The sequence below is a fragment of the Homo sapiens genome, chromosome 16, assembly GCF_000001405.40.
Source record: "Homo sapiens chromosome 16, GRCh38.p14 Primary Assembly".
NCBI lineage: Eukaryota > Metazoa > Chordata > Mammalia > Primates > Hominidae > Homo > Homo sapiens.
Genome location: NC_000016.10, coordinates 31,041,371 through 31,060,527, shown reverse-complemented (window position 1 = coordinate 31,060,527; position 19,157 = coordinate 31,041,371).

Sequence of the window (19,157 nt, the reverse complement as noted above, 5' to 3'; positions counted from 1 at the left end):
GACTTAGGAATCTGCCCACAAAAGGGGTATTGTTCATTAAAATCTACCCATTTCTTCATAGAATATACGTCTTCAATTGCCTGGTGGTGGTGGCTCACACCTGTAATCCCAGCACTTTGGGAGGCTGAGGCAGGCAGATCACCTGAGGTCAACAGTTCTGAGACCAGCCTAGTCAACATGGTGAAACCCTGTCTCTATTAAAATTACAAAAATTAGCCAGATGTGGTGGTGCATGCCATAGTCCCAGCTACTCGGGAGGCTGAGGCAGGAGAATCACTTGAACCCGGGAGGTGGAGGTTGCAGTGAGCCAAGATCCCGCCACTGCACTCCAGCCTGGGCTACAGAGCAAAACTCTGCCTCAAAAAAAAAAAAAAAAATTATCACAAGCATTGATAAGTCCAGCAGTGAACACATCTGTTTAGCTTTGTTTAGCCCATACTTATTTGATTATGGAAACCTTTTACTGAGTAGTTCTACTTTTATCCTTTCATAGATAATAAACTGCAGATAAAAATTAGTTATCTTTCCTGTATACTAAAGTAACAAATTAGAAAATATACTTGGTGGAAAAAGGATTCCCAATTCACAACAAAATCCATGGACCATGAAGGAATAAACCTCACAAGAAATGTGCAAAACCTGTATGAAAAGAAATGATAGCTCCAACCTGAAGGATATGAAATAAGACCTAAGTAAATGGAGACATATACCATATACCTGAATGGAAAGACTGATTATTAAAAGATGTCCACCAGGCCCGCTGGCTTACAGCTTTAATTCCAGCATTTTGGGAGGCTGAGGTGGGAGGATCAACTGACGTCAGGAGTTCGAGACCAGCCTGGCCAACATGGTGAAGCCCTATCTCTACTGAAAAATACAAAAATTAGTCGGGTATAGTGGTGGTTGCCTCTAATCTCAGCTACTCGGGAGACTGAGGCAGGAGAATCGGCTTGAACCCGGGAGGCGGAGGTTTCAGTGAGCCGAGATTGTGCCACTGCACTCCAGCCTGGGCGACAGAGTGAGACTCCACCTCAAAAAATAAATAAATAAATAAATAAATAAATAATGTCGAATGGGCTGGGTACAGTGGCTCATGCCTGTAATCCCAGCACTTTGGGAGGCCGAGGCAGGCAGATCACCTCAGGTCAGGAGTTCAAGACCAGCCTGGCCAACCATAGCCAACATGGTGAAACCCCATCTCTACTAAAAATACAAAAATTAGCCAGGCATGGTGGCGGGTGCCTGTAATCCCAGCTACTTGGGAGGCTGAGGGACAAGAATCCCTTGAACCTGGAAGGTGGAGGTTGCAGTGAGCCGAGATGGCGCCCACTGCACCCTAGTCTGGGCGACAGACCAAGACTCCATTTTAAAAAAAAAAGTCGATTCTCCCTAGTTTAGTCCTTAAATTCATTGCCATCCTAAAGGATTATTTATTTATTTATTTAGAGATAGAGTCTTGCTCTATCACCCAGGCTGGAATGAAGTGGTGCAATCTCAGCTCACTGCAACCTCTGCCTCCCGGGTTCAAGCTATTTATTTTTGAGACTGAGTTTTGCTCTTGTTTCCCAGGCTAGAGTGCAATGGCACGATCTCAGCTCACTGCAACCTCCACCTCCCAAGTTCAAGCAATTCTCTTGCGTCAGCCTCCTGAGTAGCTGGGAGGGACTACAAGTGCCTGTCACCACGCCCGGCTAATTTCTTGTATTATTTTTTCTTTTTCTTTTTTATTTTTTAGATGGAGTTTCACTCTTGTTGCCCAGACTGGAGTACAATGCCACGATCTCAGCTCACTGCAACCTCTGCCTCCTGGGTTCAAGCGATTCTCCTGCCTCAGCCTCCCGAGTAGCTGGAACTACAGGTGCATGTCACTATGCCCGGCTAAGTTTTGTATTTTTAGTAGAGACGGGGTTTCACCATGTTGGCCAGGCTTGTCTCGAACTCCTGACCTCAGGTGATCCACCCGCCTTGGCCTCCGAAAGTGCTGGGATTACAGGCGTGACCCACCACGCCCAGCCAAGATTTTTAAACATAACGTGAAAATTCAAACTTCAGATACAACACAATATAATTCAAAGTTCACATATAATACAATATCATTTATTTTTTCTTTTGGGATAAGGTCTCATTCTGTCAGGCTAGAGTGTGGTGGTGTGATCATGGCTCACTGCAGCTCCGACTTCCCAGGCTCTACAAGCAATCCTCCTCCCTCAGCCTTGAGAGTAGCTGGGACTACAGGCACACACCAGCACAGGTGGCAAATTTTTCTATTTTTGTGCAGAGACAGGGTTTCACCATGTTGCCCAGAATGGTCTCAAACTCCTAAGCTCAACCAATCCTCCTGCTTTGGCTTCCCAAAGTGCTGGGATTACAGGCATGAGCCACCGAGTTGGGCCAATATGGTTTTTTAAAACAGGCCGGGCACGATGGCTCACACCTGTAATCCCAGCACTTTGGGAGGCCGAGGTGGGTGGATCATCTGAGGTCAGGAGTTTCAGAACAGCCTGGCCAACATGGCGAAACCCTGTCCCTACTGAAAAAAAAAAAATAACAAAAATTAGCCAGGCATGGTGGCACGTACCTGTAGTCCCAGCTACTCGGGAGGCTGAGGCGGGAGAATCGCTTGAACCCGGGAGGCAGAGGTTGCAGTGAGCCGAGATCGCACCACTACACTCCAGCCAGGGTGACAGAGCGAGACAACATCTCAAAAAAAGAAAACAAAAACAAAAACCAGATAATGTGTTCGACATTCTTCATGTTTTATTTATTTTGAGACAGGGTCTCGCTCCATTGCCTGGGCTGGAGTACAGTGGCATGATCACAGCTCACTGCAGCCTTGAACTCCTGGGCTCGAGTGATCCTCCCTCCTCAGCCTCCTGAGGAGCTGGTCTACTGGTGCACCCAGCTAAATTTTTTAACTTTTTGTAGAGGCAGGGAGTTGCTACATTGCTACGCTGGTCTTCAGCTCCTGGGCTCAAGTGATCCTCCCACCTCAGTCTCCCAAAGTGCTGGGATTACAGGCGTGAGCCACTAAACCCAGCCTGTTTGACATAATAGATAATCAAACACCAGGCTGGGTGCAGTGGCTCACGCCTGTAATCCCAGCACTTTGGGAGGCTGAGGCGGGCAGATCATGAGGTCAGGAGATCGAGACCATCCTGGCTAACATGGTGAAACCCCGTCTCTACTAAAAATACAAAAAATTAGCCGGGCGTGGTGGTGGGTGCCTGTAGTCCCAGCTACTTGGGAGGCTGAGGCAGGAGAATGGGATGAACCCAGGAGGCAGAGCTTGCAGTGAGCTAAGATTGCACCACTGCACTCCAGCCTGGGTGACAGAGCGAGACTCTATCTCAAAAAAAAAAAAAAAAAAAAAAAAAAGATAATCAAACACCAAAGTACTAGGGGAAAAAACACATTGTTTGAGCCCAGGAGCCGGAGGTTGCAGTGAGCCGAGATTGTGCCACTGCACTCCAGCCTGGGTGACAGAGCAAGACTCCGTCTAAAAAAAAAAATTAGCCTGGCATGGCAGCACACACTTGAGAGGCTGAGGCAGGAGAATTGGTTGAACCAGGGAGGCGGAGGTTGCAGTGCGCCGAGATCGTGAAACTGCACTCCAGCCTGGGTGACAGAGAGGGAGACTCTGTCTAAAAAAAAAAAAAAAAAATTATAGTTACCTTTACCTTTAACTGCTCTATGGATCACAACCTGGACATTACACAACATTAAGTGTTCCCTTTGAGATATTCCTTCAGACTCTGGGAGGCCAAAGCAGGTGGATCACTTGAGGTCAGAAGTTCAAGACAGCCTGACCAACATGGTGAAACCCCGTCTCTACTAAAAAAATACAAAATTAGCCGGGCGTGGTGACGCATTCCTGTAATCCCAGTTACTTGGGAGGCTGAGGCAGGAGAATCATTCAAATCCAGGAGGCGAATGTTGCAGTGAGCCAAGATTGCACCATTGCACTCCAGCCTGATCAACATGGTGAAACCCCGTCTCCACTGAAAATACAAAAATTAAGGCTGGGCACCGTGGCTCACTCCTGTGATCCCAGCACTTTGGGAGGCCGAGGGTGGGGCGGGGGCCGATCACGAAGTCAAGAGATCGAGACCACCCTGGCCAACATGGTGAAACCCTGTCTCTACTAAAAATACAAAAATTAGCTGGGTGTGGTGGCACGCACCTCTAGTCCCAGCTACTTGGGAGGCTGAGGCAGGAGAATTGCTTGAACCCGGGAGGTGGAGGTTGCAGTGAGCCAAGATCATGCCACTGCACCTCTAGCCTGCGACCCCCTGCACCTCTAGCCTGGCGACAGAGAGAGACTCCATCTCAAAAAAAAAAAAAAAAAAGAAGAAGAAGAAGAAAAGAAAAGAGATTCCTTCAGGTCCTCATGGAACTACTGACTCAGCTGACCTGAAGGACCCCACAAGGAGCTAATTCCCCCAAAAACGCAGCTTCTACATCCTTCCCCCAATCAATCAATGACCCAGTTGCCCAAAACCTTACCCTCCACAATCCCCTACCCTCCACAGTCCCCTTAGAAACCCTCTCCCAGAATTGCTCGGGGAGATAGATTTGAGGGCCTCTTCCCATCTCTGCACTAGGTGCCCTGCACCAGTAACTCTCTCTGCTGCATCCCTATTGTCTTGGTGTAATGGAGCTGTAGCTGCACAGCAGGCAAAGGAACCTGCAGGTCCCCTAACAATGAAAGGTAAAAAGGAGTCACCAATCCAAAGCAACTGCAAATCCAGCTGGGAAATTCCTTTAGGCTTCCAGGCCTGGAAATGGTTTTCTATGGCTCTTTTCTGCCCTCTTGGCTCTCAGCTCTGCCCTCTGTGTCAGCCATCTTTTCTTTCTTTTTTTTTTTTTGAGATGGAGTCTCGCTCTGTCGTCCAGGCTGGAGTGCAGTGGCGTGATCTCAGCTCACTGCAAGCTCTGCCTCCCGGGTTCACGCCATTCTCCTGCCTCAGCCTCCTTAGTAGCTGGGACTGCAGGCGCCCGCCACCACACCCGGCTAATTTTTTCTATTTTTTAGTAGAGACGGGGTTTCACCGTGTTAGCCAGGATGGTCTTGATCTCCTGACCTCGTGATCTGCCACATCAGCCTCCCATGTGTCAGTCATCTTTTCTAAGAAGCCATTCCTAACCATCCAACAGAAAAGCTGTCTCCAACCCCCTATCACTTTTTGTCACATCACACTGTTTAATTTCTTTTCTTTTCTTTTTTTTTTTTTTTTTGAGACAGAGTCTTGCTCTGTTGCCCAGGCTGGAGTGCAGTGGTGTGATCTCGGCTCACTGCAAGCTCCGCCTCCCAGGTTCATGCCATTCTCCTGCCTCAGCCTCCCAAGTAGCTGGGACTACAGGCACCCGCCACCACACCCAGCTAATTTTTTGTATTTTTAGTAGAGACAGGGTTTCACCATGTTGGCCAGGCTGGTCTCGATTTCTTGACCTCGTGATCTGCCCTCCTTGGCCTCCCAAAGTGCTGGGATTTTTTTTTTTTTTTTTGAGACGGAGTTTTGCTCTTGTTGCCTAGGCTGGAGTGCAGTGGCACAATCTCAGCTCATGGCAACCTCCACCCCTGGGTCCAAGCGATTCTCCAGCCAATTTCTTTCTTTCTTTTTTTAGATGGATTCCCACTCTGTCGTCAGGCTGGAGTGCAGTGGCGTGATCTCGGCTCACTGCAACCTCCACCTCCCGGGTTCAAGGCATTCTCCTGCCTCAGCCTCCCGAGTAGCTGGGACTACAGGCACGCGCCACCACACCCAGCTAATTTTCGTATTTTTAGTAGAGACAGGGTTTCACCATGTTGGCCAGGCTGGTCTCGATTTCTTGACCTCGTGATCTGCCCTCCTTGGCCTCCCAAAGTGCTGGGATTACAGGCATGAGCCACTGCACTTGGCCTAATTGCTTTTTTTTTAAGACAGGGTCTCACTCTGTCTCCTAGCCTGTAGTGCAGTGGCATGATCTTGGCTCACTGCAACCTCCACCTCCCCACTCAAGCAATTCTTATTCTTGTGCCTCAGCCTCCCGAGTAGCCGGGACTGCAGGCATGCACCACCACACCTGGATAATTTTTTTGTATTTTTAGTAGAGACAGGGTTTTACCATGTTGGCCAGGCTGGTCTCAAACTCCTGACCTCAAATGATCCACCCGCCTCAGCCTCCCAAAGTGTTGTGATTACAGGTGTGAGCAACTGTGCCTGGCCTTAATTGTTTTGATAATACACGTTATAGCTTAGAATAGCTTAGCTCTTGGCCGGGCATGGTGGCTCACGCCTATAATCCCAGCACTTTGGGAGGCCGAGGCGGGTGGATCATGAGGTCAGGAGATCGAGACCATCCTGGCTAACACGGTGAAACCCCGTCTCTACTAAAAATACAAAAAATTAGCTGGGCGTGGTGGCGGGCGCCTGTAGTCCCAGCTACTCAGGAGGCTGAGGCAGGAGAATGGCGTGAACCCAGGAGGTGGGGCTTGCAGTGAACCGAGATTGCGCCACTGCACTCCAGCCTGGGCGACAGAGGGAGACTCCGTCTCAAAAAAAAAAAAAAAAAAAAAAAGAATAGCTTAGCTATTTACTTGTCCTCTTCACTAGAATATAAACTCCATGAAAGCAGAGGCCTTGTCTGTATTTTCACCTCTATTTCTCTAGCACCTAACACAATGCCTGGCACACAGGTCTTGCTCAATACATATTTTATGAATAAATGAGTGAAGGAGTTAAGTGTGGAATGGCATGGTACAGTAGGCTGAATAGAGAACCCCCCTAAATATGTCTACGTCCTATTCCTGGAATCTGTGAATGTCACGTTATATGGTGAAAGGGATTTTGAAAATGTGAAGGATCCTGAGATGGAGAGATTATTCAGGATTATCCAAGAGGGCGGTATGTAATCATGAACATCCTCCTAAGAGGCACACAGGAGGAATAAGTCTCAGAGGAGAAAGTGGAGTGATGATGAAGGCAGAGATGGATTCATGTGCTTTCCAATGGAGGATGGACCCACCAGCCAAGGAATACAGGTAGCCTTTCTAAACTGAAAGAGGGTGGGGTGCAACGGCTCACACCTGTAATCCCAGACCTTTGGGAGGCTGAGGCAGGAGGATCTCCTGAATCCAGGACTTTGAGACCAGTCTGGGCAATGGAGTGAGACCTCATCTCTACAAAAAATAAACAAAATTAGCAGGGCGTGGTGGCGTGAGCCTGTGGTCCCAGCTACTGAGAAGGCTAACACGGGAGGATCGCCTGAGCCTGGGAGATGGAGGCTGCAGTGAGCTATGATTGCACCACTGCACCCCAGCCTGGGTAACAGAGCGAGACCCTGTCTCAAAAAAAAAAAAAAAAAAAAGAGCTGAAGAAGGCAAGGAAACATTGTCCACCAGAGCCACCAACAAAAACCAGCCCTGCTGACACCAGACATTGGCTCAATGAAACTGATTTTGAACTTCTGACTTCCAGAACTGTAAGAAAGTAAATGTGTGTGGTTTTAAACCACTGAGTGTATGATAATTGGTTAAATCAGTAACAGAAAATTGATACCGTTTGAGGCCAAGGCAGTGGCTCACGCCTATAATCCCAGCACTTTTGGAGGCTGAGGTGGGTGGATCACCTGAGGGCAGGAGTTCAAGACCAGCCTGGCCAACATGGGGAAATCCTGTCTCTACTAAAAATACAAAAATTAGCTGGGCATGGTGGAGCACGCCTGTAATCCCAGCTACTCAGGAGGCTGAGGCAGGAGAATTGCTTGAACCTGGGAGGCAGAGGTTGCAGTGAGCCGAGATGGCAACACTGCACTCCAGCCTAGGGGATAGAGGGAGACTGTCGAAAGAAAGGAACAAAGGAAGGAAGGAATGAAGGAAGGAAGGAAGGAAGGAGGGAGGGAGGGAGGGAGGGAGGGAGGAAGGAAGGAAAGGAAGGAAAAATTGATACAGTTGGGATGGGTTAACATTCAATGTGTGTGGTGGCAACAGCTTATGGTCCCCCAGTATCCATTCTACCCTTCTCCCAGAGTAACTGAACTTTTATCTGGGCAAAAAGCTGCTCAGGGTAGAGATTCTATTTCTCAGCAACACTTTCATCGGGATGTAGCCATATGACTACATCCTGGCTATGGGGATTAGAGCAAAAATGATCTGTACTTCTGAATCATGCTCTTTAGGGCAAAGGGCAAACCATCACCCCTCAGAAGGGCCAGACTGTGGAAGTGGTGGTGAATCATATTGGATCATGTGGGTGAGGGCAACGCCCTAGGGATGGAACAGCAACAAGATAAAAAAGACCTGGAGGGGCAGAGTGGCTCATGCCTGTCATCCCAGAGCTTTGGGAGGGTGAAGCAGGAGGATCACTTGAGGCCAGGAGTTTGAGACCAGCCTGGGCAACATAGTAACACCCCACCTCTACAAAAAAGAAAAAGAAAAATTAGCCAGGCGTGGTGGCATGTGCTTGTAGTCCCTGCTACTTTGTTGGGGCTAAGGCAGGAGAATCGCTGGAGCCCAGGATTTTGAGGTTACAGTGAATTATGATTGCACCACTGCACTCCAGCCTGAATGGTGCAGAAAATTGTCTCTATTAATGGTAGTAATGAATCAATGAATGAATGAATGATACAAAAAATCTGGCTCCTAATGATTTCATGGAAAGATCCATCATACTAACTTGGACTTTTATAGAAGAGAGAAATAAACTTCTATCTTATTTAAGCCACAGTTAATTTGGGTCTCTATTATATGCAACAATACACATACACAAACTAATTCAGAATTTTCACTTACTAACCATTATGATTCTTTTTTGTTTTGTTTTGTTTTTGAGACGGAGTTTTACTCTTGTCGCCCAGGCTGGAGTGCAGTGACACAATCTCGGTTCACTGCAACCTCTGCCTCCAGGGTTCAAACAATTCTTCTGCCTCAGCCTCCCAAGTAGCTGGGATTTCAGGCATCCACCACCACGCCTGGCTAATTTTTTTTTTTTTTTTAGTAGATATGGGTTTCACCATGTTGATTAGGTTGGTCTTGAACTAACCTCAGGTGATCCGCCCCCTCGGCTTCCCAAACTGCTGGGATTACAGGTGTAAGGCACCATGCCTGGCCAAACATTATGTTCTTTTCTCTTTTTTTTTTTTTTTTTTTTTTCAGAGTCTCACTCTCTAGCCCAGGTTAGAGTGCAGTGGCGTGATCTGGGCTCACTGCAACCTCCACCTCCCAGGTTCAAGCGATTCTCCTGCCTCAGCCTCCCGAGTAGGTGGGACTACAGGTGTGCACCATGAGGTGTAGCTAATTTTTGTATTTTTAGTAGAGATGGGGTTTCATGGTGTTGACCAGGCTGGTCTCTCAAGTGATCCACCTGCCTCAGCCACCCAAAGTGTTGGGATTACAGGTGTGAACCACCATGCCCAGCTTTTTTATTTCTTTTTCCCCCCCTTTTTAAAAATAGAGCTAGGATTTTGCCATGTTTCCTAGACTGGTCTCAAACTCCTGGGCTCAAGCAATCCACCCGCCTCTGCCTCCCAAAGTGCTGGGATTACAGGCGTGAGCCCCCGTGCCCGGCCTGGACAGCTTCTTTTTAATGCATCTCAGGATGCATGTGAGATTGATATTTACTAGGCACCATGTTGATGCTAGAAGGTCTGGGCCCCACCAGATGTTTTTACAGTTCCTGTGAGCAGCTGCTACTAGTTGCCAAATGCCAGCAAGAATCAAGAAGACTCGGCTTGGCTGGGCACGGTGGTTCATGCCTGTAATCCCAGCACTTTAGAAGGCCAAAGCTGGCGGATGGCCTGAGGTCAGGAGTTCCAGACCTACTCAGGAGGCTGAAGCACAATATTTGCTTAAATCCAGAAGGCAGAGGTTGCATTGATCCGAGATCGCACCACTGCACTCCAGCCTGGTGACAGAGCAAGACTCCATCTCAAAAAAAAAAAAAAAAAGAAAGAAAAAAAGAAATAGGCTCACTGGTTAGGACCTGAGGGTGAACAGCTCTGAAGAGGAGCAAAGGCGGAGACTTCCTAACATCAGCATAGCTCATTATGGTGTGTCAGTTGTCATGGTGATGGGAAAGGATACCTGAGCAGGGTATCCCACAGGGAGGCTGCATCTATCAGCTGGGATCCAGTTACGCTGCAGTAATAGCAGCCCCCAAATCTTAGGGGCTCACAACACCATGTTGATTTCTCACTCATATCCATGTCCTCCATGGGACCACTCTGTTCTATGCTATCTTCATTCTAGAGCCCTGTCTGAAGGAAAAGTCTCAAGCTGGAACTTTCCGTCTCCAGACACCGAAGAGAGGAAAGGTGGCAGACCCCATGACGGCTTTTAAAGCTTCCTCGTGGAAGTGGCACATGTCATTTCCACTCAAAGTCCATGGTCTAAAGCAAGCCACATAGCCATACCTGATGTCAGTGAACTGGGGACAAAAAACCATTCTATGTAGCAGGTCCCCAAAGAGAGGGCCAGTGAATACATGTGATTTTTTTTTGTTGGTTGTTTTTTTAGAGTCAGTGTTTTGTTGTGTTGCCCAGGCTGGAGTGCATAGGTGCATGGTGCAATCATAACTCACTGCAGCCTCTACCTCCTGAGCTTAAGTGATCCTCCCACCTCAGCCTCCTAAGTAGCTAGGACTACAGGCAAGCACCACCACGCCCAGCTAATTTTTTTTTATTGTTTTATTTTTTGTAGAGATAGGGTCTCACTATGTTGCCCATGCTGGTCTCAAACTCCTGGCCTCAAGTGATCCTCCTGCTTCACCCTCCCAAAGCACTGGGATTATAGGCGTGAGCCACCACACACATCCCAGTGAATGTTTTTGAACAATTATAAAATCTTCCCCCGTCTGCCCTCTTCCTTACAAATACTGCCTTTGCATTTTCTTCCATATGCAAAATAAATGCATCCCCTTCCCAAGGGAGACCACCTAAGTGACCCATCTGACATGGAATCAGCCTCAAGCCCAGGATCTCTAATAGTCTCTTCTATATCAGGTCCAGATGTGGCTTCTCTTGATTCAGAGACCTATGAGCTACAAAATAAGAGAGAGACAGAGACAAGTTACCTGTGCCCCATTTCTACACACACACACACACGAACACATCCAACATATAAAGCAGAACAAGGACAGGAGAACAGCAGAGCACACTCCCGTTCAGAAGGAAGGACAGGGCCCGGTGCGGTGGCTCATGCCTGTAATCCCAGCACTTTGGGAGGCCGAGGCCGGTGGATCACCTGAGGTCAGGAGTTTGAGACCACCCTGGCCAACACGGTGAAAACCTGTCTCTACTAAAAATACAAAAATTAGCCAGGCGCAGTGGCTCACGTCTGTAATTCCAGCACTTTGGGAGGCCGAGGGGGGCAGATCACAAGGTCAGGAGTTCAAGACCAGCCAGGCCAACATAGTGAAACCCGGTCTCTACTAAAAATACAAAAAGTTAGCCGGGCGTGGTGGCGGGCCCCTGTAGTCCCAGCTACTCAGGAGGCTGAGACAGGAGAATCGCTTGAACCCAGGAGGCAGAGGTTGCAGTGAGCCGAGATCGTGCCATTCCACTCCAGCCTGGGCGACAGTGCAAGACTCCGTCTCAAAAACAAAAACAAAAAACCCCAAAACCAAAAATTAGCCAGGCGTGGTGGCATGCACCTGTAGTCCCAGCTACTCGGGAGGCTGAGGCAAGAGAATCGCTTGAACCCAGGAGGCAGAGGTTGCAGTGAGCCGAGATAGTGCCATTGCACTACAACATGGGTGACAAAAGTGAAACTCTGTCTCAAAAAAAAAAAAAAAAAAAAAAAAGGAAGGAAGGACAGGAGACACACAGCAGGCTCTGGGCCCCACTAAGTCTAAAGTGCTGCTGGGCAGATGTTGAGAAGAACCCCCACTTTTCCCTGGGAGTGGGAAGAGTTCCCTAGTTCATTCTTCACCATGTTCTTGGCTCTGCCCTTAGAGTAAACCACCCTTTTCCACTTATTCTCCTTGGCCACAATTGAGAGGACACTGGTGGTTATGTCTTTCTGAAGTAGAGTAGCTTTCTCAGTCTCCTTCATGCCCATAGAAATTTGGAGACCCATGGCCAGGTGCGGTGGCTCACGCCTATAACCCCAACACTTTGGGAGGCCGAGGCGGGCAGATCACGAGGTCAGGAGATCGAAACCATCCTGGCGAACACAGTGAAACCCTGTCTCTACTAAAAATACAAAAAAAAATTAGCCGGGCATGGTGGCGGGCGCCTGTAGTCCCAGCTACTCGGGAGGCTGAGGCGGGAGAACGGCGTGAACCTGGGAGGCAGAGCTTGCAGTGAGCCGAGATCACACCACTGCACTCCAGCCTGGGTGACAGAACGAGACTCCGTCTCTAAAAAAAAAAAAGAAATTTGGAGACCCAGGCCGGGCATGGTGGTTCACATCTGCAATCACAGTATTTTGAGAGGCTAAGGCAGGAGGATCACTTGAGGCAAGGATTGCTTGAGGCCAGCCTGGGCAACATACAGAGACCCCCATCTCTACTAAAAACAAAACAAAACAAAACAAAAAAAAACCTGAAATACAAAAATTAGGCTGGGCATGGTGGCTCACACCTGTAATCCCATCACTTTGGGAAGCCAACGAGGGAGAACTCCTTAAGACCAGAAGTTCAAGACCAGCTTGGGCAACAGGCTGAAATCCTCTCCAGAAAAAAATAGAAAAATTAGCCAGGTGTGGTGGCGCATGCCTGTAGTCCCAGCTACTCAGAAGGCTGAGGTGGGGGGATCACTGGAGCCCTAGAGGTAGAGGCTGCAGTGAGGCTTGATTGTGCCACTGCACTCCAGCTGGAGTGACAGAGCAAGACTTCATCTCAAAACAAAACAAAGCAAAACAAAACAAAAATAGGCTGGGCATGGTGGTACACTGCACGCCTATAATGCCAGCACTTTGGGAGGCCAAGACAGGTGAATCGCTTGAGTTCAGGAGTTCGAGACCAGCCTGGGCAATATAGCAAGACCCTGTCTCTACCAAAAAAATACAAAAATTAGCCGGGCATGGTAGCGCACACCTGTAGTCCCAGCTACTTGGGAGGCTGAGGTAAGTGGATCACTCAAGCCCAGGAAGCGGAGGTTGCAGTGAGCCAAGATCGTGCCACTGCACTTCAGCCTGGGTGGCAGAGTGAGATTTTGTTTCAAAAAAATTTGAAAAACAAAAATTAGCCTGCTGGGGTGGCATGGGCCTGTAGTCCCAGCTACTTGGGAGGCTGAGGCAGGAGGATCGTGTGAGCCCAGAAGTTCGAGGTTATAGAGAGCTGTGGTTGCATCACTGCACTCCAGGCTGGGTGACAGAGTGAGACCCGGTCTCCGAAATAAAAAAAAAGAAAGAAACTTGGGGACCTAAAAATCATACTAAGTATTGAACACTCATGGTCAAGATTTAACCTGGTGGCTTTTTGTCAGGGTGAGGGGGTGTTAGGCAGGGGAAGCAGGGCAATTCCCTCCAAAACTGAACTTACGTATTTTACTCCATTCAGATCCATGGGTCAACAGCATACCCATAATTCTTTTCAGACATAACCATGACGTTAGACTTAACTGTAGTTGAGCCTACTGACTCCCTCAGGTAAGCTACATTTTTTTTTTTTTTTGAGATGGAGTTTCACTCTTGTTGCCCAGGCTGGAGTGCCATGGGTGATCTTGGCTCACTGCAACCTCCGCCTCCCAGGTTCAAGCAATTCTCCTGCCTCAGCCTCCCAAGTAGTTGGGATTACAGGCATGCACCACCATGCCTGGCTAATTTTGTATTTTTAGTAGAGACGGGGTTTCTCCATGTTGGTTAGGCTAGTCTCAAACTCCTGACCTCAGGTGATCCGCCCACCTCAGCCTCCCAAAGTGCTGGAATTACAGGCGTGAGCCACCACGCCCAGCCAAGGTGAGTTACACTCTTAACCTCTTTCCTTTGAATCATCTTGACTAGCTGAGAGGATTTATTAGGAACCACTTTGATCAGTTTGGAGATTTTTACAAAGGGCATAATAGCCATATACTTGATATGGCCCTTGCCACAAAGATGACTTTTAATCAAAACTTGTAGCTCAGCCGGTCGCAGTGGCTCACACCTGTAATCCCAGCACTTTGGGAGGCCGAGGTGGGAGGATCATTTGAGGTCAGAAGTTCAAGACCAGCTTGGCCAACATGGTGAAACCTGTCTCTACTGAAAATACAAAAATTAGCTGAGCGTGGTGGTGCACGCCTGTAATCCCAGCTACTTGGGAGGCTGAGTCAGGAGAAAGGCTTGAACCCAGAAGGTGGCCTTGGAAACAAGAGCAAGACTGTCTCAAAAACAAAAACGAAAACCTTGTGGCTCAAGGACTTTCTCAGTTGTATCTTTTACTGAAAATGTGGATCACTTGCCTCGAATTTCTATATTCTCTTCCATTTCTGCTTATAAACTGACCATTTAATTTCTGAGTCATCTCTTTCTTCTAGTAACTCCTCAAATGCATGCAATAGTAGTGACAGCATGCTACCAATACTCCCTTTCCCCAGTTCTTTACCTAAAGCCTAAAGCTCATTTGGTCATAAGCTTACAGTTTAACCAAACGATTCACCATTGCATAACACACGTCACCATCTTTCCAACTTCCAATGACAGTTCCCTTACCAGCCACTGTCCAGCTCAACGTCAATGTCATATAGTTTACATAGTTTAGGCTTTTTTTTTTTTTTTTGAGATAGTCTTGCTCTGTCGCCCAGGCTGGAGTGCAGTGGCTTGATCTTGGCTCACTGCAACCTCCGCATCCAAGGTTCAAGCGATTCTCCAGCCTCAGCCTCCTGAGTAGCTGGGATTACAGGTGCCCACCACCATGCCTGGATAATTTTTGTATTTTTAGTGGAGACAGGGTTTCACCATGTTTGCCAGGCTAGTATCAAACTCCTGACCTCAGCACCCACCTCAGCCTCCCAAAGTGCTGGGATTACAGGCATGAGCCACCATGCCTGGCTGGGGATTTTTTTTTTTTTGGACCCAGGCTGGAGTGCAGTGGTGCAATCTTGGCTCACTGCAACCTCTGCTTCCTGGGCTCAAGTGATCCTCCCATCTCAGCCTCCCAAGTAGCTGGGACTACAGGCACATGCCATCACACCTGGCTAATTTTTAATAATATTTTTATTTTTATTTTTTAATTTTTTGAGATGGAGTCTCACTCCATCGCCCAGGCTGGAGTGCAGTGGCGCAATCTTGACGCACTGCCAACCTCTGCCTCCTGGGTCCAAGCGATTCTCCTGCCTCAGCCTCTAGCTGGGATTACAGGCACCTACCACCATGCCTGGCTAATTTTTTTTGTATTTTTAGTAGAGACAGGGTTTTGTCATGTTGGCCAGGCTGGTTTCAAACTCCTAACCTTAGGTGACCCACTTACCTTGGCCTCCCAAAATGCTGGGATTACAGGTGTGAGCCACCGTGCCCGGCTGAGGCTCAATTTTTATTGTTGCAGCACACCACTTCTGGGTATTAATTCTGTAACAGTTTGTTTAAACATTTGGATGTGCTAACAAACAACCTCCATATATCAATGGCTCACAGCAAGAGAGATTTATTTCTTAAATTCTGCATCATTTTATAGGTAGGCTGTAGCCCAGCTTCATGTCATTGTCATTCTGGGTTGCAGGCTGAAAGAGAAGTCTAGATCTGGAAACTGCCAGGTTTATGAGCCTGAGCAGAGGGAGAAGAGACTGGAAGCTGCTAGAGTACTCAATGGTGCCCTAAAGCTTCTATGCAGAAGTGATACTTTACCTTTTTTTTTTTTTTTTGAGACGGAGTTTCACTTTTTGTCCAGGCTGGAGTGCAATGGCATGATCTGGGCTCATTGCAACCTCCTCCTTCCCGGGTTCAAGTGATTCTCCTGCCTCAGCCTTCCTAGCAGCTGGGATTACAGGCCCGTGCCACCATGCCTGGCTAATTTTGTACTTTTAGTAGAGACAGGGTTTCACCACGTTGGCCAGACTGGTCTCGAACTCTTGACCTCAGCTGATCCACCCGCCTCATCCTCCCAAAGTGCTGGGATTACAGGTGTGAGCCATTGCGCCCGGCCGATATTTTGCCTTCCTACCCATATTCCACTGGCCAAAGCAAGTCCTATAGCCAAACCTATTGTAAGTAGGGAATGAGCATATAATGCTCCTATAGGGAGGGGCCCAGCAGGGAAGGTAAGCAAATATCTGGAACAGAGATGTCAATCACTGCCCTAGTCAACTCCTCTTCCAGCACATACACACGCTCTGCTGCAGCATTTTGTACCATGTCACTTCCTACATCCATCTTAGCCAAGGGTAAAAGGGTAAAGTCTTGACTCAAGGGCAAAGTCTTTTTCTTTTCTTTTTTTTCTTTTTTTTTTTTTTTTTTTTTGAGACAGGGTATTATTCTGTTGTCCAGGCTGGAGTGCAGTGGTGCAATATTGGCTCACTGTGGTCTCAACCCCAGGCCCAAGCAATCCTCCCACCTCAGCCTCCCAAGTAGCTGGGACCACAGGCACGTACCACTGACATGTACCTGGCTTTTTTTTTTTTTTTTTTTTTTTTGAGAGGGAGTTTTGCTCTTGTTGCCCAAGTTGGAGTGCAATGGGACAATCTCGGCTCACTGCAACCTCCACCTCCCGGGTTCAAGTGATTCTTCTGCCTCAGCCTCCCAAGTAGGATTACAGGCCTGCACCACCATATCCAGCTAACTTTTTGTATTTAGTAGAGACGGGGTTTCACCATGTTGGTCAGGCTGGTCTCGAACGCCTGACATCAGGTGATCCACCTGCCAGGGCCTCCCAAAGTGCTGGGATTACAGGCATGAGCCACAGTGCCCAACCTAATTTTAATTTTTGTAGAGATAGGGTCTTGTTATATTTCCCTGGCTGGTCTTGAACTCCTGGGCTCAAGCAATACTCCTGCTTTGGCCTCCCAAAGTGCTGGGATTACAAATGTGAACAACAGTGCAAAGTCTTGAGTTAAAGGGCAGACAATTCCTAGGCAAGTAAACGTAATCTGATCTGGAGAGCAGACCAGACTGATTCATTTTCTTGGGAACTTGAACCACAATAGATTGAATAAGTGAGCTGCAGCTGACAGGTTGTGATACAAGATGGACTTGGAAATGTCACATCAAACCAAGACCCTGTTGCCTAAAAGTTGGGCTGACAGCAGCAAAGCTAGGATTTCAATGCAAATCCTGCCCTTAGCCCCTCACTCAGGGCAGTTTCCCAAAGGGAAGAGATGTACACAGGGGAACCCACGGAATCTCCAGTGCACGCATCCATCTGTTCGCTTGCCTACCAGATCTGCTCCAAACTCACCTGCTCAAAGACCTTCTATGGGTCCTGACAGCCCACAGGAAAAGTTCAAAGGATTGAGCCTGGCATCCGAGGCCACTTGGCCATCAGGCCACCTTTTCCAGGAGGTTCTGGATGGCTTTCTGGGTGAAACCGGGGAGCTGCTTTTCAGGGGCGGCGCTGTCCAGCATGGCTAAGAAGAGGCACACACTGCACGTGGCCCCCCGCTGCACATGGCCCCCGCTGCAGGTGGACACCCGCTGCATAGACAGTGGATGCCGAGAGACTCTATCAGATCCCAGTAAGCACCACAGATCTTGCAATTTTACTCTGAAGGCAGAGAAGTGAGAGAGTGGATGAAGGCAGCCAACGGGACAGGACTTTGCTGGAGATGCAAGCAGAGAATCAGGGAAGTCCAGAGGCCCCAGGTCCAAATCAGCTTTGTACTGGGGCAGCATCTGCCCGGCCCGCAGCTCCCATCGGGTGGACACACCTAGATCGCATCTGCACACTCCAGAGAAGGTGGAGCTCTTTCCTGTAAAGCCCACGACACACTGGATCTGCCGGGCCCTCCTCAGCCACACAGCCTTCCAGTGTCTTTGGGGGGTTCGATCCAGCCCCTTGCGGTATACAATCCAACCACTTCGGGGTATGTCTGCGCCTCGCCCTAAGGCCCCACCCACACCCGCTTCCTAGACCTAAGCGCCATTTGATGGTGGGGCGGGGATCACTCTTCCAGGACCCTCCAGACTAATGTCCATGCTCTTCAGAGACAACACTTAAGTCCCGCTGGCCAATCGTAACCAAACCACGGCCTTAGCCACGCCCCATGCACAGCTCGCCCAGTTGCGGACGATCTCGGACGGTAAGACCTGCACTCCAGGGCCACCGGGAGGCGCTGCGGGGCCACCGGGAGGCGCAGTCGGGGGTCGGCGAGGCCTGGCCCTCGGGCCCAATTCCGCCCTCCTGCCCTTCCCCTAGCCCAGTCCAGAGCCCGGTCCAATGTGCATCAGCGAAGCCACATCCAGCGCTTACGCGACGCGGTCTCCCACACATGGCAACGCGGGACTGAGCCCGCCAGACTGGGCAGCTGGGAGCGGCGGCAGCGGCAGCAACAGCAGGGGCCTGTAAGATTGAAAGTGGGATGGACTGGGCGGCTGCGACGCAGTCCCCAGACCTTGGAGGTCAGAGCTAGGCGCCGCCCTACTGCAAGTAGGCAGGTGCCAGGAGCCGGCTTACCCTTTAAAACTAGGTGTCGGGGGCCGGGCGCGGTGGCTCATGCCTGTAATCCCAGCACTTTGGGAAGCTGAGGCGGGCGGATCACGAGGTCAGGAGATCGAGACCATCCTGGCTAACACGATGAAACCCCGTCTCTACTAAAAATACAAAAAATTAGCCGGGCGCGGTGGCGGGTGCCTGTAGTCCCAGCTACTCAGGAGCCTGAGGCAGGAGAATGGCGTGAACCCGGGAGGCGAAGTTTGCAGTGAGCGGAGATCGCACCACTGCACTCCAGTCTGGGCGATAGAGCAAGACTCCGTCTCAAAAAAAAAAAAAAAATTAGCCGGGCATGGTGGCGGGCGCCTGTAGTCCCAGCTACTCTGGAGGCTGAGGCAGGAGAATGGCGTGAACCCGGGAGGCGGAGCTTGCAGTGAGCCGAGATTGCGCCACTGCACCCCAGGCTGGGCGACAGAGCGAGACTCTGTCTCAAAACAAACAAACAAACAAACAAAAACTCTAGGTGTCGGGGAACAGGAGCCACGTCCACTCCAGAAATTAGGCATCAGGACTAGGAGCCCTTAGAAATTTAGGCGGTGGCTCACGCCTGTAATCCCAACACTTTGGGAGGCCGAGGAGGGCAGATCACGATGTCAGTAGATCGAGACCATCCTAACACGG